This window comes from Homo sapiens, chromosome 7 (assembly GCF_000001405.40).
Source record: "Homo sapiens chromosome 7, GRCh38.p14 Primary Assembly".
In the NCBI taxonomy this organism is placed as follows: Eukaryota; Metazoa; Chordata; class Mammalia; order Primates; family Hominidae; genus Homo; species Homo sapiens.
In genome coordinates, this window is record NC_000007.14 from 6,411,316 (window position 1) to 6,433,509 (window position 22,194).

The 22,194-nt window shown below is 50.8% G+C and overlaps 1 protein-coding gene across 2 annotated transcripts in view, besides 2 other annotated features; it reads right to left on the reverse strand.

The window, feature by feature from the left end:
* Window positions 1-22,194, reverse strand: part of DAGLB (diacylglycerol lipase beta) — a 38,826-nt gene that overhangs the window by 2,187 nt on the left and 14,445 nt on the right. The window contains exons 5-13 of one of the 2 annotated variants that reach the window (NM_139179.4): window positions 21,522-21,644; window positions 19,165-19,292; window positions 14,673-14,799; window positions 13,437-13,520; window positions 10,412-10,489; window positions 5,526-5,606; window positions 5,312-5,439; window positions 1,651-1,719; window positions 1,496-1,568 (exon numbers count right to left, since the gene is read on the reverse strand). In NM_139179.4, coding sequence (NP_631918.3) covers window positions 1,496-1,568; window positions 1,651-1,719; window positions 5,312-5,439; window positions 5,526-5,606; window positions 10,412-10,489; window positions 13,437-13,520; window positions 14,673-14,799; window positions 19,165-19,292; window positions 21,522-21,644 — 891 coding nt within the window. The remainder of the gene's footprint in view (window positions 1-1,495; window positions 1,569-1,650; window positions 1,720-5,311; window positions 5,440-5,525; window positions 5,607-10,411; window positions 10,490-13,436; window positions 13,521-14,672; window positions 14,800-19,164; window positions 19,293-21,521; window positions 21,645-22,194) is intronic. The other variant, NM_001142936.2, reaches the window with a different exon arrangement.
* Window positions 4,009-4,585: an enhancer, noted in NCBI's record as "H3K27ac-H3K4me1 hESC enhancer chr7:6454955-6455531 (GRCh37/hg19 assembly coordinates)". NCBI's record gives its function as "activates a minimal SCP1, AML or CMV promoter by ChIP-STARR-seq in primed H9 embryonic stem cells {active_cell/tissue: H9 hESC(primed)}" and the evidence as "EXISTENCE:reporter gene assay evidence [ECO:0000049][PMID:30033119]".
* Window positions 13,205-13,704: an enhancer, noted in NCBI's record as "H3K4me1 hESC enhancer chr7:6464151-6464650 (GRCh37/hg19 assembly coordinates)". NCBI's record gives its function as "activates a minimal SCP1, AML or CMV promoter by ChIP-STARR-seq in primed H9 embryonic stem cells {active_cell/tissue: H9 hESC(primed)}" and the evidence as "EXISTENCE:reporter gene assay evidence [ECO:0000049][PMID:30033119]".

Genomic DNA, 22,194 nt, shown 5'->3' on the forward strand with positions numbered 1-22,194 from the left:
TAATTTCTAAAAAAAATTTTAGGCTGGGCACAGCAGTGGCTCACACCTGTAATCCCAGCACTTTGGGAGGTCAAGGCAAGCAGATTGCTTCAGCCCCGAAGTTTGAGACCAGCCTGGGCAACATGGTAAGACCCTGTCTCTACAAAAAATACAAAAATTAGCCAGGTGTGTTGGCGCATGCCTGTAGTGTAGCCCCAGCTACTCAGGAGGCTGAGGTGGGAGGATCAGTTGAACTTGGGAGGCTGCAATGTGCCGAGACTGCGCCACTGCACTCCAGCCTGGGTGACAAAGCGAGACCCTGTCTCAAAAAAGAAAAAACTGGGGGAGGTAATTGGTAAGGAGAAAAATTTAAATTGCGTTTCTTCTTTCTGATTAGGAACAAAACCATGAGAAAGGTCAGAAAACAAAGGGATTAAACAAGTAAAAATCATCTCTACCGACACTAAACAAAACCACCCTTGGCATACGTATTTTCAAATTTTTGTCAAAATTCATATATCTGTATCTCCTTGTCCCCACTCTCTGCCATGAGTCATATCTCTTAAGAATAATTTTTAAGTTTTTTTTCTTTTGAACTTTTCAATGGATATCTATCTTTATCGGCAGACAGAAATTTCTTCTTTTTGGAGACAGAGCCTCACTCTATCCAACAGGCTGGAGTGCGATCTTGGCTTATGCAACCTCGGCCTCCTGGGTTCAAGCGATTCTTCTGCCTCAGCCTACCAAGTAGCTGGGATTACAGGCACTCACCACCACCCCTGGCTCATTTTTGTATTTTTACTAGAGACGGGGTTTTGCCATGTCGACCACTCTGGTCTCGATCTCCTGACTCAGGTGATCTGCCTGCCTTAGCCTCCCAAAGGGCTGGGATTACAAGCGTGACCCACCGCGCCTGGCCAGCAGACATAAATTTCTACCACCATGTTAAAAAACCCTTGACGTGGACATATATCACCATTTTAATAACTGCATGATATCCACAGTGTAGATAAATGTGCCTGTACCTCTTAAGGTCTATTTGGCAGCCTTGCTTTCTAAGCTTTCGGACAACAAAGCCAAAAGGCATTAACAAACTGTTAGTCACAAGACAGGACTAAGAAGTTTGTCAGAAAGCAAAATCAAACAGTTCCTCCAGAGTATTTTCTTTTCTTTTTTTTTTTTTAGAATAGAGACAGGGTCTTGTTGTGTTGCCCAGGTTGGCCTCAAGGGATCCTCCTGCCTTGGCCTCCTGAGGTGCTGGGATTCCAGGCATACACCACTGCTCCCAGCCCAGATCCTGTTTCCTCCCTGTGACATTTCCCGCACTTGCTGCAGCCATTTGCTTTCTTAGACATCACAGAGTCCTAGCCCAGAATCTGATCAGATGGTGGAAGGAGAACTTCCAGCAACAGCATAGAGTGCCCTGCACTGAGGGTGCAATTCCTCCCGGCTCTCCACAGGATCTCAGGGACAGGCCCCGTGTCCTGCTGACCCTCTCAACAAGGCACCCGCTTACCTTGGGTTTATTGCAGTGCGCGACCACTCGCAAGATTCTTCTCTTCAGATCTTCCAAGTTGGTCACACTGAGCCTGTTTAGCAAAGGGGCACACTGAGGCTGGGACCTGGCACTCCCAACCCCCCAGCCCTGGGCACAGCACCAGGTGGGCTTACCTGGGAATCACATCCTTCCCCAGGACGAGTGACACGATGAAGCTCTGAGAATATTCCTGCAGAGCTTTGCTGAAATTCCAAACAGAGAGAGGATGTTAGCTTTACGATGACACTGCCCACAAGGGCTTCCATGAAAGAAATCAGTAACACTGAGGGGTTAGGTTCCCAGGCCTCAGCTCTGTTCTCTCTTCTCTAAAGGGAGGGTAGGGGAAACGTCAGTTATGGCAACTCACTGGCCAGATCCTACTAAAGCCACAATATGTGTTCAACAGAGACGCCCCGCAGCTAAAACCGCAAACTGGACACCAAGGCGGACCAAGCACATGGATCTGTCCTTTGACCCAGAAACCGCGCTTGGAAGACTCCATCAAAGATGCACTGGAGGCCGGGTGCAGTGGCTCACGCCTGTAATCCCAGCACTTTGGGAGGCCGAGGCAGGCGGATCACAAGGTCAGGAGATTGAAACCATCCTGGCTAACACGGTAAAAGCCCGTCTCTACTAAAAATACAAAAAATTAGCCAGGCGTGGTGGTGGGCGCCTGTAGTCCCAGCTACTCAGGAGGCTGAGGTAGGAGAATGGCATGAACCCGGGAGGCGGAGCTGGCAGTGAACTGAGATCGCGCCACTGCACTCCAGCCTGGGCGACAGAGCGAGACTCCATCTCAAAAGAAAAAAAAAAAAAAAAGATGCCCCAGCAAAAATGAAGGGGCAGAGGCAACAGGCGATTCACTGCGGCAGAACCTGCACCGGCAGAGGCTGGAGCCTCCAAACACCCATCCACAGAACTGCCTTCAGCTCCCAACAACGAGTCACATAATAGTGCGTCCCGCACAGCTGGGAGAAGGAGGAGGACTGTGTGTGCCACTGCGGGGTCATCTCAGGACATGCGGTGAAAGTGAACAGCCACGACCAGAGACAGAAGAGCAGGGAAAAGGTGCAGGCTTTCATCAACAGGAGGAGAGGAACACAGACACGCTTCCTTCCAGCCATGGACATAATGGAAACACCAGTCAAAACCACCACATTCTACCTCTGGGGTGACAGAAAGGACTTTTTTGTTTTTGAGATGGAGTCTCGCTCTGTCTCCCAGGCTGGAGTGCAGCGGCACAATCTCAGCTCACTGCAACCTCCATCTCCCAGGTTCACGCCATTCTCCTGCCTCAGCCTCCCAAGCAGCTGGGACTACAGGCGCCCACCACCACGCCCAGCTAATTTTTTGTATTTTTAGTAGAGATAGGGTTTCACCGTGTTAGCCAGGATGGTCTTGATCTCCTGACCTCATGATCTGCCGGCCTTGGCCTCCCAAAGTGCTGGGATTACAGGTGTGAGCCACCACACCCGGCCAATTTTTTTTTTTTTTCTTTTGAGACGGAGTGTAGCTCTGTCACCCAGACTGGAGTGCAGTGGCACGATCTCGGCTCACGGCAACCTCTTCATCCTGGGTTCAGGCAATCCTACTGCCTCAGCCTCCCGGGTAGCTGGGACCACAGGCACACGTCACCACGTCCAGCTAATTTTTGTAAGGAACCGGGTCTATGTTGCCCAGGCTGGTCTCGATCTCCTGGGCTCAAGTGATCCTCCTGCCTCAGCCTCCCAAAGCGCTGGGGTTACAGGTGTGACCCAACATGCCCAGCCTCCTGATGTTTAAGTATCACTATACACTACAGTTACATTTTCTCTTTGGTGTAACAAAAGCCTTTCCTACCTCTTTCCAATGAAAAGGCCTGGAAATTATGACCAGCCCTGTGGTAATGAGAACTACCAGTGCCCCGATTTCAGTTCAGAAATACCATTTCCTGCTAAAAGGAACCAATATTCCTTGGAGAAACGGTTGATTCCAGATATGGACGATGGAAAAAAAAAATACTTGCTCATTTCAAGCCCAAAACTTGAGAATATTCTTGAGAAAGCAAGAAAATGAGGCCAGGCACAGTGCTCAACACCTTTAATCCTAGCACTTTGGGAGGGTGAGGCAGGAGGATCACTTGAGCCCAGGAGTTCAAGACCAGCCTGGGCAACATAGCAAGACCCTGTTCCTTACAAAAATTAGCTGGATGTGGTGGTGTGCGCCTATGGTCCCAGCTACTTGGGAGGCTGAGGCCGGAAGATCACCTGAGCACAGGAGGCAGAGGCTACAGCAAGCCATGACTGTGCTGCTGCACTCCAGCTGGGGAGACTGAGTGACACTCTGTGTCAATTAAAAAAAAAAAAAAGACAGCAAGAAAACAGACGACTGAAATTTAAGTTTTAAAAAATTAATGTCTGCCTCTGTAGACTGCTAGGCAACAATTCATTATTCTGAACACTTCTTTATTGAGGGAAAGATTTAAGCACTTATACATTCTCCTGTTTTTTCCTGTGTGAACTATATGTCAAAGAAACCAAGTGTGCGAAGAAAAGCTCTTTTTGTTCTTTACGTACATACTTTTTAATCATCCCAAAGGGCCGGGATTACAGGCATGAGCCACCACGCCTGGCCTTTATTTCATTTTAATGAAATAAAGTGGTATAATTTTCCTTTATAATCATGGCAAAAGGTTACACAGAACAGTCAGTATGCTGGAATCAGCAAAAAAAAATATAAACTTTTCAGCCAGGCGTGGTGGCTCATGCCTGTAATCCCACCATTTTGGGAGGCCAAGGTGGCGGATCATGAGGTCAGAAGACAGGAGATCGAGACCATCCTGGCTAACACGGTGAAACCCGTCTCTACTAAAAAAATACAAAAAATTAGCCGGGTGTGGTGGCGGGCGCCTGTAGTCCCAGCTACTCGGGAGGCTGAGGCAGGAGAATCGCTTGAAGCTGGGAGACGGAGGTTGCAGTGAGCCGAGATCACGCCACTGCACTCCAGCCTGGGCGACAGAGCAAGACTCCGTCTCAAAAAAAAAAAAAAAAGTAATTTTCAAACTCATAAAAATGTCTTTAAACATGTGCATTATGCATGTGTCCCCACCCAGGGCATATGCCCCCCGAGAGGGCGGAGGGAGTGCTCAGCATACTACGGGCTCTGGGCGATGTGCCTACCAGGCGCATGGATGTCAACAACCGGACCCCTCTGCCAGGGCTGTGAGAATGGGGGAGGTTGTGCTTGCTTGTGGGGAGGGAGGGTATGAGAGATCCCTACAATCTGCTGCTCAGTTTTGCTGTCAGCCTAAAACTGCTCTAAAAAATAAAGTCTGTTTGAAAAAAGACTCTTAGAATTAAATCATTGAGGAAATTACAGGTATGGTCACATAGGTCTAAGAAAGGCTAGACAGACTTTCTTCTGTGAAATAGCGCTTCAAAACACAAACCTCAGCTGGGTGCGGTGGCTCACGCCTGTAATCCCTGCACTTTGGGAGGCCGAGGCGGGCAGATCACTTGAGGTCAGGAGATCAAGACCAGCCTGGCCAACATGGTGAAACCCCACCACTACTAAAAATACAAAAATTAGCCGGCATGCTGGCGGGTGTCTGTAGTCCCAGCAACTCGGGAGGCTGAGGCAGAAGAACCGCCTGAACCTGGGAGGTGGAGCTTGCAGTGAGCCGAGATCACGCCACTGCACTCCAGCCTGGGCGACAGAGCAAGACTTCATCTCAGGAAAATAAAAGAAAAAAAAGATGAGTCTTGACCACATGACTTGTAAGTAGCAAGCTGTTAGAGCAGGAAAACAAAGGCTCACCTCCACAGCCCCCGGGGTGGGGAGAAGGCGTAGCACCTGACCTGCGGGTAGGCGGCTCTGAGCATGGTGGCCAGCAGGGCGGCCGCCCCGCCCCCGAGGCTGTGGCCCACTATGACCAGCCGGTACTCCTAGAGGACAGACAGCAGAATGAGGTGAAGGGTAAAAACAACAGCTCCAAAGAGGACAAGGAAAGAAACGTTAACTAAGATCTCACAGGAGCAATGCTGAAGGCTTGGCTCAAAATCCCGTCGTTGATGAGTCGTTGGTAAACGTATCTGGCAGCTTGAGAAATACCCTAAAAACACAGACAAAGAAGGTGGCCGTTAATCCTCAGACAAGGCAGGCCCAGCAGAGACTCAAAGATGGGATGACGCTGTGCACTGATGTGTGAGTCTCTCCTGGGATCTGAGACTGCAGAATCAGCAGCCACGTCCATCGTGCATGGCTGTGCTCCTGGCACCTTGCACAGCGCCTGACGTGAAGCAGGTGCCAGGTGTGGTGGCGCACGCTTGTAATCCCAGCACTTAGGGAGGCCAAGGCAGGAGGACACTTGAGCCCAGGAGTTCAAGACCAGCCTGGGCGACATAGTCTCTACTAAAATAAAAATACAAGACCAGCCTGGATCCTGACTCTACTAAAAAAAAAAAAATTAACGGGGCTTGGTGGCGAGCGCCTATAGTCCAGCTACTCGGGAGGCTGAGGTGGGAGGGTCGCTGGAACACATGAAGTTCAGGCTGCAGTGAGTTATCGTCGCACCACTGGGCAGCAGAGTGAGACCCTGTCTCAAAAAACAAACAGACAAACAAAAAACCCAAAACAACCAAACATCTTTCCACAGATACATTTCTGTGGCTTTTTCTGTAGCTACACCGTTTTGTGCTGTGTGAACATATCACAATTTACTTCAGCCAAGTTCCTACGGCTGGTCAGATTTAGACTTTTTACATAACATTTAAACATAAAGTTCTACCGCTGTGCCAAGTGGCTCACACCTACAATCTGAGCTATTTGGGAGGCTGAGGCAGGAGGATCACTTGAACGCATGAGGTTGAGACCAGCCTGGGCCACATAGCAAGACCCCATTTCTCTAAAACAACTACAGAATCCACGAAGTTCTGAATCAAAGACACTGATAAGCATCCACTGTTCCTGCAAAGGTAAAACTAAACCATCAGAAGTGAGTTTTAGGGTGGTCAGGTTTGGCTTTAACTTCAAAAAGTAAATAAAATTTTATTTATTTATTTATGAATGAATGAATGAATGAATGACAGTCTCGCTCTGTTGCCCAGGATGGAGTGCAATGGGGCGATCTCGGCTCACTGCAACCTCTGCCTCCTGGGTTCAAGCAATTCTCCTGCCTCAGCCTCCTGAGTAACTGGGATTACAGGCATGCGCCATCACACCCAGCTAATTTTTGTATTTTTAGTAGAGACAGGGTTTCACCATGTTGGCCAGGCTAGTCTCGAACTCCTGACCTCGTGATCCACCCGCCTCAGCCTCCCAAAGTGCTGGGATTACAGGTGTGAGCCACTGTGCCCAGCAAAAATTTAAAATTTTCTAACATATACATCTGTCCTCTGAAACAGGCTTCTTGAAAATTAAGCAGGTGGCTCATGCCTGTAATTCCAACACTTTGGGAGGCTGAGGCAGGAGGATCACTTGAGCCCAGGAGTTCAAGGTTACAGTGAACTATGATTGCACCACTGCACTCCAGCCTGGGTGGCACAGTGAGACTCTTTCTGAAAAATAATCATCATAAAAATAATAAATAAAAGAAAAAAAATAAAGCCATTCCCTACACGCAGTTAAGCCCTAAAAAAATTTTTAAAAAAGAAAAGCAGTGCCAGGGAAGAAATGACCCTGTCAATCAAAAATATCTTCAAAATGCTTCCTCAGTGTGCTCCTGTGCTGGGCTCGGAGAAAAGCGGGCCTGGCCCCTGTCCCGTGCAGCTTCGATTCTAATAGGACGGGGTGGAGGAAATCCCACAGAAGATGGGAGATGGTTTTTGATCATCTCTAATCCAACTACAAGTTTCTTTTTTTGTTTTTTTTTTTTGAGACAGAGTCTCGCTTTGTCGCCCAGGCTGGAGTTCAGTGGCTCGATCTCGGCTCACTGCAAGCTCCACCTCCCGGGTTCACGCCATTCTCCTGCCTCAGCCTCCTGACTAGCTGGGACTACAGGCGCCCGCCACCACGCCCGGCTAATTTTTTGTATTTTTAGTAGAGACGGGGTTTCACCGTGTTAGCCAGGATGGTCTCCATCTCCTGACCTCGTGATCCACCCGCCTCGGCCTCCCAAAGTGCTGGGATTACAGGCGTGAGCCACCGCACCTGGCTGCAACTACAAGTTTCTAAGAATTAAATAATTCTACAAGTAGAATGCTGAACCCAGCCATCATATAAGAAAATTTTTAAAAAGGCTTCAACACTCTGTGTGCATTCAGATGGCACTTCCTTTTTTTTTTTTTTTTTTTTGAGACGGAGTCTCAGGTTCAAGCGATTCTCCTGCCTCAGCCACCTGAGTAGCTGGAATTACAGGCACTCACCACCACACCCGGCTAATTTTTGTATTTTCAGTAGAGATGGGGTTTTACCGTGTTGGCCAGGCTGGTCTCAAACTCCTGACCTCAAAGTGCTGGGATTACAGGTGTGAGCCACTGCACCCGGCCCTGACAGCACTTCTTAACAAATTACCAGATGCCCTTTCTCTCTCCTGCGACGGCGGGATGCAGTCAACTCCAGGCCACACTCACTGGGCACCTACCCTGTGGCTGGTGCTGGGCAGGCAGAGCCCAGCAGGACGTGGACTAAGCTGCTGCTGGCGAGCCTCCCCGGCGCACATCCAACAACAAATGCCAAAGCCCTTTCGGCCACACAGGTTTGGAGTCCAATTACCGTGGACAGCGTCAGAGCCAAACTCAGCGTGATTTGGCACAAATGAAGCCAAGAGGACAGGACAGGCCCTGAGCGGCAGCCTTCCCGACCCAAGGGATGAACTGTCACTAAAATATGAACCCAGCACTTGGGGGCCTCAGCTGCCAGCCAAGCCGCGGATCCTCAGCTTGTGGTCACATAAAGCCTTTGCCTGAGCAGATCCACCCAGGCCAAGCCCCCTGGCCCCTGACGGGTTTCTGGGGCATCTCTGTACTAAGGCTTACAGTTCCTCCTTTCCTCACACAGTAATGGGCAAACTGGAGTCTTTTGTGAACTGGCATACAAAAAAGACAGCAAAGGGCCAGGCGTGGTGGCTCACGCCTGCAATCCCAGCACTTTGGGAGACTGAGGCAAGAGGACTGCTTGAGCCCAGGAGATTCAAGACCAGTCTGGGCAACACAGAGAGACCCCATCTCTACAAAATAAAAAGTAGAAAATTAGCCAGGCATGGTGGCACACGCCTGTAATCCCAGCTACTTGGGAGGCTGAGGTGGGAAGATCACTTGAACCTGGGAGATGGAGGCTGCAGTGAGCTATGATCACACCACTGCACTCAAGCCTGGGTGACAGAACAAGACCCTGTCTCAGAAACAAAAACAGTCCAGGTGCGGTGGCTTATGCCTGTAATCCTAGCAATTTGGGAGGCTGAGGTGGGTGGATCACGAGGTCAAGAGATAGAGACCAGCCTGGCCAACATGGTGAAACCCCGTCTCTACTAAAAATACAAAAATCAGCTGGGTGTGGTGACGTGCGCCTGTAGTCCCAGTTACTTGGGAGGCTGAGACAGGAGAATTGCTTGAACCTGGGAGGCAGAGGTTGCAGTGAGCTGAGATGGCACCACTGCACTCCAGCCTGGACGACAGAGCAAGACTCCATCTCAAAAAAAAAAAAGAAAAGAAACAGGCCACTGACAAAAGGACAAATCCTGTACGATTCCACTTCTGTGGGGTTCCCAGAAGAGACGACTTATAGAGACAAAGTAGAACAGAGGTTCCCAGAGGCCGTGGAAGGGAGGAAGCGGAAGTGAGTGGTGATGGGTTCAGAGCTTGTGTTAGGGGTGTGGGACTGGACACGGGTTCACGGCACTGTGAACGCACTGGATGCCCGGAACTATACACTAACGACCAACGAACAGTGAAACTGACCAATGTGTGTCAGGAATATCTCACCAGTTACAGGAAGCCCCCAAAACTAGAAACCCCTACCCCTCTACTCTGGGCAGGGGGTTTTCATTCCTTCGGGAGGAGCTGAGGCAGCCTCACACCCATAGCACAGTGAGCATGAAACTGTAAGCCTGGCACCGTGCCATCTGCCATCTGCACAGAGAATATGTGAATGACCCGGCAGAGCGCCCGTGGGGTGGGCCTGCCTCCTGAGACCCTGGTGCGCACTCTCTGCTGCTCTGAGCTTTGATGAAGCTGTTCTTCACCATGAGAATGTACTACCTGAATGAATTCAGAGGCTGGGTGTGGTGGCTCACGCCCGTAATCCCAATACTCTGGGAGGCTGAGGCAGGAGGATTACTTGAGCCCAGGAGGTCAAGACCAGCCTGGGCAACACAGGGAGACTGCCTCTCAGAAAACACACACAGAGAGAAGGAAAAGCCACAGAGCTGGGCTCAAATGCCCAACCTGCTACTTATTCCAGTAGCCACGCGACTTTGGGCAAGGCACTCGCTCTCTCTGAACAGGCTTCTCTCTCTTAGAACAAACGAAATCCCACAGCCTCCCAGGGCTGCTGTGAGAATCAGGCAGCGCGGGAGGCGCAGGCAGCGCGGGAGGCGCAGGCAGCGCGGGAGGCGCAGGCAGCGCGGGAGGCGCAGGCAGCGCGGGAGGCGCAGGCAGCGCGGGAGGCGCAGGCAGCGCGGGAGGCGCAGGCAGCGCGGGAGGCGCAGGCAGCGCGGGAGGCGCAGGCAGCGCGGGAGGCGCAGGCAGCGCGGGAGGCGCAGGCAGCGCGGGAGGCGCAGGCAGCGCGGGAGGCGCAGGCAGCGCGGGAGGCGCAGGCAGCGCGGGAGGCGCAGGCAGCGCGGGAGGCGCAGGCAGCGCGGGAGGCGCAGGCAGCGCGGGAGGCGCAGGCAGCGCGGGCTCTGTGCAGTCCCTGACCCGAGGCACCCATCTTCTGTGTGGTCAGCATTCACAGGCAAGACACACGAGTCCGCGCTCATACCTTGTGTGCCAGGCGGTCCTGCACCTCACACTCCACGTCCAGCACCTCACTCTCCGCTGACAGGTCCGTAAGGACATCCTGTAAAAAGGGCGTTGCAGAAGCGGCCGTCAGCCTGTGATGGGCAGGGTGGGAGAATGACAGGTGGTCCCTGCTCCTGACACTTCTGTGGAGGATGGCGGGGATGGCACCATCTCCTAGTTCGGTCCTGGGACTGAACCCTAAACTAAAGAGGGAAACCCAGCGGTGGCTCCTGAGGGCCCTGATGGCACGACCAGCTCTGGGCCAGGCGTGAAGGGTGGAGGGGACCATGGAGTGTGCCTAAGACACGCCCTGCGCCTTCCCCATCACACACACGTATTCTAAGGACCCCGTGGCACAGAACCTGTGCCAGGGTTCTGAACAAAGCCTGGTTCCCGTCCTCAGGAGCCCCGTAACAGGTGAAACCGTGGAGAGGAGGAGGCCTAGACTAGCACCACAGCAAGGGCCAGGCAGTGCCGAGTCAGAGGATGGGGCACAGCCCAGGCGCAGGGGCAGCTCCCTGGAGGAGGTGACGCCACAGCCAGACCCGAAGGAAGAGGTTGTTGTGAAAGCAGAGAGGACAGGCGGCGTCCTCCCAACAGGGGCAGCAGGACCCGCTGGCTGGGGCCCTGGGCACGGCTCCACACCAGCCATATTTGAAAAGGTCCACAGGCGAGTGCTGTGCTGCTGGGCTGGAGGCCCCGGCAGCAGCGTCCAGGCTGCGGAGTGGGCATGGGGGAGGCTGCTGGGTAAAGCACCCAGAGCTGTGATAAGAAACACAAACTTGATGTTAAAGACAGTGGGCCCAAGCATAGAAAAGCGCAAAAACACATCCTCTGCAGCAACGGATGCAGCTGCGGGCCATCATCCTCAGCGAATTAACGCAGACAGAGAAAAGCAAACACCGCATGGTCTGATGCGACGGTGGAAGCTCAACATTGGGTATTCATGGACACAAAGAGGGGACAATAGACACTGGGGCTACTAGAGGAGGGCAGGGGAAGGAATGAAAACCTAACCACTGGGTACTATGCTCAGTACCTGGGAGACGGGATCAACAGTACCCCAAACCTCAGCGTCACACAGTATACCCAGCTACAAATCTGCACATGTACCCTCTGAATCTAAAATAAAAGTTGGAATTAAAAAAAGAACATTTAAAGATAAATCCATAAAGGCAATGGGAAGCCACTGGAGGTATCTGAGCAGGACGGTAAGATCCGATCCGTGTTCTAGAGTGAGTCCTTGGTGGACAGGACAATGGACAGACGCTGAGGTGAGTGGATGGCTACAGCCCAGGAGTCCAAGACCAGCCTGGGCAACATAGTGAGATCCTGTCTCTACAAAAATAGAAAAAATTAGCTGGGTGTAGTGGCACATGCCTGTATTCCCAGCTACTTGAGAGGCTGAGGCAGGAGGATCACTTGAGCCCAAGAGGTGGAGGCTGCAGTGAGCTGACTGTACCATCGTACTCCACCCTGGGCAACAGAGCAAGACCCTGTCTTAGAAACAAACAAACAATCAAACAGACTGGGGAGATGAGACTAGACAAGGACGGAGATGGGAAGCTAGAGGACTGGGGCCAAAAGCGGGGCCATGGCGCTGGAAATGGAGAGAGGGCCACATAGGCTGGGGCAGGAAGTTCACACACAGCAGACAGGGCGCACAGAAACCACAGACGACGCCACTGCTTCTTTTGAGACAGAGTCTCGATCTGTCGCCACGCTGGAGTGCAATGGCGCAATCTCAGCTCACTGTAACCTCCACCTCCCGGGTTCAAGCAATTCTCCTGCCTCAGCCTCCTGAGTATCTGGGATTACAGGTTCCCGCCACCATGCCCGGCTAATTTTTTTTTTTTTTCTGAGACAGGGTCTCACTCTGTCTCCAGGCTGGAGTGCAGTGGTGCAATCTCGACTCACTGCAACCTCCGCCTCCCGGGTTCAAGTGATTCTCCTGCCTCAGCCTCCTGAGTAGCTGGGACTACAGGAGCCCACCACCATGCCTGGCTAATTTTCTGTATTTTTAGTAGAGACGGGGTTTCACCATGTTGGACAGGATGGTGTCGATCTCTTGACCTTGTGATCCACCCACCTTGGCCTCCCAAAGTGCTGGGATTACAGGCGCCACTGCTTCTTAAATGGGCAATGGGGGGACGATGGCAGAGCTGACGTGAACAGGGCGCCCCCCGGGAGGAGCAGCCCTGTGGGAAGTGTGGCTTCTCTGGTGCCTCCCGGGAGACCCACAGATGGCTCCTGAAGATGCAAGTTTGGGGTCCTGGCCCTGGACTTAGGGGGGCTACCCCAGAGCCAGTCAGGAGCAGAAGAGGGCTGAGCACACAGGCTCTGGAGTCTCAACTCATTTTCTGGGTCAGCAGAGAAGAACGGGAAGTGAGACTGAGGAGTGGCCAGGAGGAAACCGGAATGGAGAGAAGAAAGCTTTGACAAGGAAAGCGTCACCTGGCATCTCCAAGGGGCCCAGGAGTATGGACTGAGGAAGACAGAAGAGGGGCCATGGGCTGGGGATGGATGTCGGCAGTCCTGACCTCACCTGGAGAACGGCAGGCCACGAGGGCCTGTGAGGATCCAAACCGGGAGCCTCCAGCGGGGCTGGTGGCCAGGGGCGTGACTCTCTGCAGCAAGACTGACTCACTGCCGCCATCTGGCTCTGGTGCAGAAATTCCCCGGGAGGGCTCCCGGGTGTGGGGCCTGGCTGGGCTCAGGGAAGTTAGGCAGGGAGGGGTCAAGCAGGTGCCCTCTGGGAGCTCCTGTGGCGGGGGGGCCAACCTGCTGGCCGCTCTGCTGCTGACAGTTCTCAGTGAAGATGAAACAGCTTCATCCCTTTTTGCAAAGGGAGTATTTCCCAACCCCAGGCTCACATCCTCATTTTCTGTCCTCACCATTTTCCCCTGTGTCTCATGCGGTTACTGACGGATTTCCCCAGCCGAGCAGCTGTGGGCTCCCGCTCCCGCACCCACTCCCAGGGCTGGAAAGTCAGGTTCCAACGTTACCTGCAGAGACATGGTCCCCCTCACAGCGACCACAACAGACTCTTTCCTGTGATCCAGAGCCACTAAAAACGGCAGCTCGTAAACCTGCAGGAGCAAGAAACAAGCATGGGGCCTAAACAGTGAACACACGCACCAGCACGCAAAGTCGGAGCCCTGCAGTGTCTGCAATGACAGCCCAAGTCCTGCGGCACAGAGAGGAGGGGACACCGCCTCTCCACTCACGCTCACTACACAGTGGGACCCACTCTGGCAGGGACTGGCCTTCATAAACCATGCTGCTCTACATGAAAAAGGATCTTTGTTTTCTTAGCCTCTCTCTGACCTCCCCAGAGATTCGGATTGAACTGGCCCAGGGTGCGGCCTGGACCTCAGCAGTGTTAAAAGCTCCTCAAGAGGTTCTACTGGGCAGCAAAGTGGGAGAGCCGCCGATCTGCGCCAGCAGGCCTCCCGCTGCGGTGCCTATGAGAATCACCTGGAGAGACAGCGAGCGACACTGAACACGCAGCACTGCAGCCATGCACAGCTGGCTTTTTTTTTTGAGATGGCATCTTGCTCTGTCACCTAGGCTGGAGTGCAATGGCGCAATCTCAACTCACTGTAACCTCCGCCTCCCGGATTCAAGTGATTCTCATGCCTCAGCCTCCCGACCAGCAGAGACTACAGGCGCCTGCCACCACGCCCAGCTAATTTTTGTATTTTTAGTAGAGATGGGGTTTCACCATATTGGCCAGGCTGGTCTCGAACTCCTGACCTTATGATCCACCCGCCTCGGCCTCTCAAAGTGCTGGGATTACAGGCGTGAGCCACTGTGCCCGGCCCACAGCTGGCTTTTGCAGCTTCTCCCAAGGTGACAGTGACCCCCCCAGAGTGCCAGACCTGCTACACTACACTACTGATGGCACTCACAACCCAGGACGACGATACGAATCCCAGAAGGCCATGCGGCATTAATACTGAGGGATTTCACTCCTCAACAGAAGGGCGAGGTAAGAAACACAGCGCGCTATCTCTGATGAAGACGTCTCTATCTTATGTGAAACCTGGGTTCTGAACCTGCACCAGGGCATCTGTGTGGCTCCCCCAGAGTCTGTGGCCCCTCTGAAATAGTACACAGGACTTAGAAGTGTGTTTGTGTGTCTATGAATTACGGGAAGAATAATTCATAACTTCCATCAGAATCTCTAACAGCTCCAGGACCCAAAAGAAGTGAAGAGCCGCTGTCTGCAGCGTCCACACCTTGTCATGGAAGCTGACGTGGATGAAGTCCCTGTACTGCAGCCCTGTGGTGTGCAGGATGGAGCCGAAGTGACAGTTGAGCTGATCGCCTCCGACCAAGTCATAGTCTGTGGTTCTGCTTCTGCAGCTAAAAAGAGGACAAAGACGTTACTATGCCGAACAGAGCCACTTGGCAAGGAACGTCCATCCTCACTGCCACATGTTCCCAGAGACGCGAGGACCAGAGCGGACAATTCTCAGGACTTAGCCTGGCTGACATGGAATGGCTTTTTAAAACTTAATTTGATCGACTGACTGATTGAGATGGAGCCTCACTCTGTCACCCAGGCTGGAGTACCGTGGTACAATCTCAGGTCACCGCAACCTCCGCCTCCCAGGTTCAGGCGATTCCCCTGCCTCAGCCTCCTGAGTAGCTGGGATTACATGCGTGCACCTCCATGCCCGGCTAGTTTTTGTATTTTCAGTACAGATAGAGTTTCGCCATGTTGGCCAGGATGGTTTTAAACTCCTGACCTCAGGCGAACTGCCCGTCTTGGCCTCCCAAAGTGCTGGGATTATAAGCGTGAGCCACTGCACTGGGCCCGGAATGGCTTATTAAAGATAATACCTCTCTGTGTACACTTCTTGGATAGAGTTCTGACTTCTGGCATCATGTTAATGATTTCTATATTCAAAAAATTCATCAACAAGGATGGGCAAGTCCCTAAAACTGAATGCCAACAGAAGCAGGTAAAGCAAACCTGTCCAAATGAACAGCACAGCCAACTCCGTAGAAAATAAACAAGAAATCATAGAAGTAACTTTTGAGTACTGTGCTCTACGTTTAAAAAACAAAAAGAGGCCGGGCGTGGTGGCTGATGCCTGTAATCCGGCACTCTGGGAGATCGAGGCAGGTGGATCACCTGAAGTCAGGAGTTCGAGACCAGTCTGGCCAACGTGCTGGAACCCCACCTCTACTAAAAATACAAAACTCAGCCAGGTGTGGTGGCAGGCGCCTGTAATCCCAGCTACTCGGGACGCTGAGGCAGGAGACTTGCTTGCAACTGGGAGGCAGAGGTTGCAGTGAACTGAGATCGCGCCACTGCACTCCAGCCTAGGTGACAGAGTGAGACTCCGTCTCAAAAAATACAATTAAATTAAATTAAAATAAATAAAAATAAAAACTAAAAAAACTACAAACACATCGCAAACTGTACTTAGCAGATGCCCTTTTTGTAGTGGAACTGGGTATAGCAATTCTGAAACTATTTTCTTAGTAATAGGGGACTGAGCATGGGTAACTCACGCTGATGTTGCTGGGAGCCAAGCTTCTCTTTGCAGACATGATGTGGAGAAGCAAAGAGAAACTCTGTGGCTTTGGACTAGAATTAAAAGATATCAGGGCCAGGAGACTGACACCCATGATGCCAGCACTTTGGGAGGCTGAGGCGGGAGGATCGCTCAAGTGTTGGAGACCAGCCTGGGCCACAAAGCAAAACTGTCTCTAAAAAGAAATTTATTAATTTAAAACATTTTTAAAAATTATCTGGGTCTGGCAGTGCATGCCTGTAGTCCCAGCTACTTGGGAGGCTGAGGTGAGAGAACCCCGTCTCTTAAAAGACAAACAAAAAAAAGATATTAGTAAAATCTCATGATCTTTAAAATAAATACATAGGCGTGGTGGCTTACACCTGTAATCCCAGGACTTTGGGAGACCGAGGCAGGTGAATCACTTGAGCCCAGGAGGTTGAGGGTATGGTGTTACAGTAAGCCGTGATGATACCACTATACTCTAGCCTGGGCAACAGTCCCAAAAAAAGAAAAAGCAAAATCCAGAGGTTAGGAAGTGCTCAGAACATGATGGGGTCATATGAAAAGAACACTGGAGCCAGTCTGCAGGACAAAATCTGGAACATTTTGAGCATCAAATAAACACTGTACTTAATACAAAATAAACAGTCATAATTACAACCCACTGAATAATTTAAGAATCTATAAATCCATATTGACAGTAAGATGTAGGGATAAAAAGCTCTTTTTTATAGGAGAATGACAATTAATGTAGAAGAAATGATGAATTTAGAAAAATCACAATTTTGGCCAGGTGCGGTGGCTCATGCCTGTAATCCAACCACTTTGGGAGGCCAAGGCGAGTGGATCACCTGAGGTCAGGAGTTCGACCAGCCTGGCCAACACAGCGAAAACCTGTCTCTATTAAAATTACAAAAAACTAGCCGAGTATGGTGGTGCAGGCCTGTAATCCCAGCTACTCGGGAGGCTGAGGCAGGAGAATCACTTGAACCTGGGAGATGGAGGTTGCAGTGAGCCAGGATCCTGAGACTCTGTCTCAAAAAAAAAAAAAAAAAAAAGAAAGAAAGAAAGAAAAAGAAAAATCATGATTTTGCCACCATCCTGGTAATAAGTGATTCAGACAAGAATCAATGGATGCTGTACTGCCAGATGAGAATTCAGAGAGGGATAGGACATTTACTTACTTGTTTTTTGTTTTGTTTTGGTTTCTTTTTTTTTTTTCTTTTTGAGACAGAATCTTGCTCTGTTGCTTAGGCTGCAGGGCAATGGTGTGATCTCCACTCACTGCAACCTCCAACTCCCTGGTTCAAGCGATTCTCCTGCCTCAACCTCCCGAGTAGCTGTGATTACAGGTGTGTGCAACCATGTCCAGCTAATTTCTGTATTTTTAGTAGAGACGGGGTGTCACCGTGTTGGTCAGGATGGTCTTGAACTCCTGACCTCAGGTGATCAGCCCGCCTTGGCCTCCCAAAGTGCTGGGATTATAGGCATGAGCCACTGCACCTGGTGGGATATAGACATATATATTTATTTAATTTATTTTTTAAGACAGCGTCTTGCTCTGTCACTCAGGCTGGAGTACAGTGGTGCAACCCCAGCTCACTGCAACCTCAGCCTCCTGGGCTCAAGTGTTTCTCCTGCCTCAGCCTCCCAAGCACCTGGGACTACAGGTACACACTGTTACACCCAGCTAATTTTTATATTTTTAGTGAGATGGAGTTTTGCCAGGTTGCCCAGGCTGGTCTCAAACTCCTGAGCTCAAGTGATCCGCTGGCCTCGACCTCCCAAAATGCTGGGATTACAGGTCTGAGCCACCACGCCCGGCCTGGGACAAGATATTTAAATGGTCTCAAGGCTGGCAGTCACCACCTCAGCCAAGCAATCAATGTTAATATAACCAGAAATGGGACAAACTGGCATCATGTATCCCCTGATATGATACACTAGGAAGGATGGTTGTCATGGACCATTCCCGCCAAAAATGCAAAACATAAATCTAATCATGGGGAAACCATCACACAAATGCAAATTGAAGGCCCTTCTACAAAATATCTGCACTGTCCTCTTCAAAATGTCAATATCATGAAAGGAAAGAACGGCTGAGAAACTTAAAACTTGAAGGAGACCAAAGAGACACAGCAACTAGATGTAACGCATCATCCTGGATTGGAGAAAAAAATTGCTAAAAAGGGTATTACTGGGGCTGGGCACAGTGGCTCACACCTTGTAATCCCAGAACTCTGGGAGGCTGAGGCAGGCAGATCACTTGAGGTCAGGAGTTTGAGACCAGCCCGGTCAACATGGGGAAATCCTGTCTCTACTAAACATACAAAAATTACCTGAGACCGGGCCTGGTGGCTGACGCCTGTAATCTCAGTACTTTGGGAGGGTGAGGCAGGTGAACCACAAGGTCAGGAGTTCCAGACCAGCCTGGCCAACATAGTGAAACCCCGTCTCTACTAAAAATAGAAAATTAGCCGGGTGTGGCCGGGCGTGGTGGCTCATGTTTGTAATCCCAGCACTTTGGGAGGCCGAGGCAGACGGATCACGAGGTCAGGAGATCGAGACCATCCTGGCTAACACGGTGAAACCCCATCTCTACTAAAAATACAAAAAATTAGCCAGCAGTGGTGGCGGGCGCCTGTAGTCCCAGTTACTCGGGAGGCTGAGGCAGGAGAATGGCGTGAACCAGGGAGGCGGAGCTTGCAGTGAGCCGAGATTGTGCCACTGCACTCCAGCCTGGGCAACAGAGTGAAACTCCATCTCAAAAAATGAAAATTAGCCGGGCATGGTGGCGGGCACCTGTAATTCCAACTACTCAGGAGGCTGAGCCAGTAGCACCGCTTGAGCCTGGGAGACGGAGGTTGTGGTGAGCTGAGATCACGCCACTGCACTCCAGCCTGGGCAGCAAGGGTGAAACTCTGTCTCAAAAAGAGAAAAATAAAATGGTTCGGGGAAAAAAAATACATGTGCATATATATATATATATATATATATATATATATGCAGGGGGGAGGGAGGGAGGGAGAGAGAGAGAGAGAGAGATACAGCGCATGTGACCAGATGAGTCACAGCTGGTGACTCTAGGTAAAGGATTCATGGGAGTTCTTTGCACTGTTCTTTCAAATTTTTGAAATATCTCAAAATAGCTTTTTTTTTTAAGGGAAATATGGCTATGGAGGCTCAGACTGTGCCAACCCACCAGTCACCACCAATCCTGCACAGCCCCGTGAGGGGGTTTCTGTAGATGTAGAGGGGCCACCCATAGGCCGCTGCTGCAAACTGCATGTAATGATGGCAGTTTTCTAATTCTGCATCCAGATCAGCTTCCTACAAGAGAAGGACAAAAACTACTGTTTATTAAGGGAACTCCTGACACAGAGGATCAACACACTGAGACCTGAAACCTGAACTCATTCCTGACTCTTCCTGCTCCTTCGTTGAATAGAACTCTCAGACGCCCACAGGCAAAACTGCTCCTTCAATAAGGATGACATGGACTCCTCATTTTTTTTTTTTTTTAGAGTCTCGCTCTGTCACCAGGCTGGAGTGCAGTGGCACAATGTCAGCTCACTGCTACCTCCGCCTCCCAGGTTCAAGCAATTCCCCTGCCTCAGCCTCTCAAGTCGTTGAGACTACAGGCACCCGCCACCACACCCGGCTAATTTTTGTATTTTTAGTAGAGACGGGGTTTCACCATGTTGGCCAGGCTGGTCTCGAACTCCCGACCTCAGGTGATCAACCTGCCTTGGCCTCCCAAAGTGCTGGGAAGCCAGGCGTGAGCCACCACGCCCAGCCTGACTCCTCATTTTATAGGAACACAGCAAGCACGGGGAAGTTAACAGTAAAAAACACTCCAATGACTTCTCTGCTGTTTTTGCTGAAATGAGCCGGCGCTTCCTATCTAGATGCCTGAAACTAGTACATTTCCATGCCACTGCCACACACGAGCTGTCAAGAACTGAGTGGCTTAACCCGGAGCAGCGAAGATACATACCGTCTACGTGCAATTTTCTTTCTCAAAAACATAACAACCTGTGGCAGGAAAATTATCACCAAGCAAAGCTGAACTGCTTCTGCCCCCAGCCCCAGAGAAGAAAGCAAACACACCCAGGGAGAATCGCAGTCCCCATCCCAGGAGGAATTGTTCTAATGCATAGAATTGAACAGCAAATTTCCTAAAACATAAGCCTTCAAAGATATGATAAATGTGGCCGGATGCAGTGGCTCACGCCTGTAATCCCAGCACTTTGGGGGGCCAAGGCCGGCAAATCACTTGAGGCTAAGAGTTTGAGAACAGCCTGGCCAACACGGTGAAACCCCGTCTCTGCTAAAAATACAAAAATTAGCTGGGCATGGTGGTGCACGCCTGTAGTCCCAGCTACTGTGGAGGCTGAGGCAGGAGAATTGCTTGAAGTCAGGAGACAGAGGGTGCAGTGAGCCAAGATCATGCCATTGCACTCCAGCCTGGGTGACAGAGACTCTGTCTCAAAAAATAAAATAAAAAATAAAGATATGATGGATGATAAAGTGGCCAGGAATGGGTTCCCACTACCTGAACTCCAGTTGATAACGAAGATGCCTCACCTGACAGGTGATGCAATACAACCAGTGGAAGCCGCCAATCAGATTCCAACCCTGCTGCTAATGAAACTGCTGTAGGGTCCTAGGCTTAGTACCTGGGTGACAAAATAATCTGTACAACAAACCTTCGTGACATGAGTTTACCGGTGTAACAACCCTGCTCATGTACCCCTGAACCTAAAATAAAAGTTAAAAAAATGAAAAATAGGCCCGGTGTGGTGGCTCATGCCTGTAATCCCAGCACTCTGGGAAGCCGAGGCAGGCAGATTACCTGAGGTCATGAGTTTGAGACCAGCCTGGCCAACATGGCAAAACCCCATCTCTACTAAAAATACAAAAAATTAGCTGAGTGTGATGGTATGCGCCTGTAATCCCAGCTACTCAGGAGGCTGAGGCAGGAGAATCACCCGGGAGGTGGAAGTTGTGGTGAGCCAATTGTGTCATTGCACTCCAGCCCGAGCAACAAGAGCAAAACTCCATCTCATAAAAAGAAAAAGAAAAAAAGGGGAGGGGAGGCTGGGCACGGTGGCTCACGCCTGTAATCCCAGCACTTTGGGAGGCTGAGGTGGGCAGATCATGAGGTGAAGAGATGGAGACCATCCTGGCTAACACGGTGAAACCCCGTCTCTACTAAAAATAAGAAAAAAAATTAGCCAGGTGTGGTGGCAGGCGCCTGTAGTCCCAGCTACTCAGGAGGCTGGGGCAGGAGAATGGTGTGAACCTGGGAGGCAGAACTTGCAGTAAGCCGCGATTGTGCCACTGCACTCCAGCCTGGGCGACAGAGCGAGACTCCGTCTTAAAAAAAAAAAAAAAAAAGGTGGGAGAGGGGAGGGAAGGGGAGGAGGGGGAGGGGAGGGAGGGGAAAGGGGAATGAAGGAAGGGAGGAAGAAATTGCTATAGGTTAGCTGTATGATTCTGAAGACCCACCAAAAGGTGTAAGTGTCAGAACTGGACACTCCATGAAGCCAGGCTCACCTGGGAGCTCCCTGGGGCATGGCAGACCACCTGGGCAGGCTCTTGGTTGTTCCTGATATTGTCCTGTTGCTGATGAAGCAGGGCGAGGCCCGCCGCAATGTCGCTGGGCACCAGATCTGTGTCCTGGGTGGGAAACCACAATGGCCTGTCATAAAACCCAGCAGGCACCACCCCCGGGTTCCCTAAAATCCAGTCTTCTATAGTTGATAGGCATTCACGCACACACAGACATTTCTAGACACAGAGGTATGTTAAAAAGACTGCTCCTGGCAGGAGTGCTTCTCTATGTGACCTGAATATGTTTTCACATCCTGCCCTCAGACAAGTCCACTGGAGAATATAAAAATGCTATTCGTCTGTCTTAAAATTTCACTTCATGTGACTCAACTATTTTTAATCTACTTCAAATATTTTGTAAAGTGGAGAAATCAATGGATAAATTGTCCGTTTTTGTAGCAATGCACCATTTTAGCCCACGTTTATACTCTCATTTCTCAAGATGCTGGGAAGGTTTTGTTGAAACACAGTGGATGGTAGAGATTTATGAGACTAAACTCATACTCACAGGGTATGGCAAGCCTCATAAAGGACCCCAAGCTGGGAAAGCAACAGAGAGTGAGTCTTCTTAGGCCTGACATGTCCTTTTTCTCCAGGAAATGGAGGAATTAGGAAT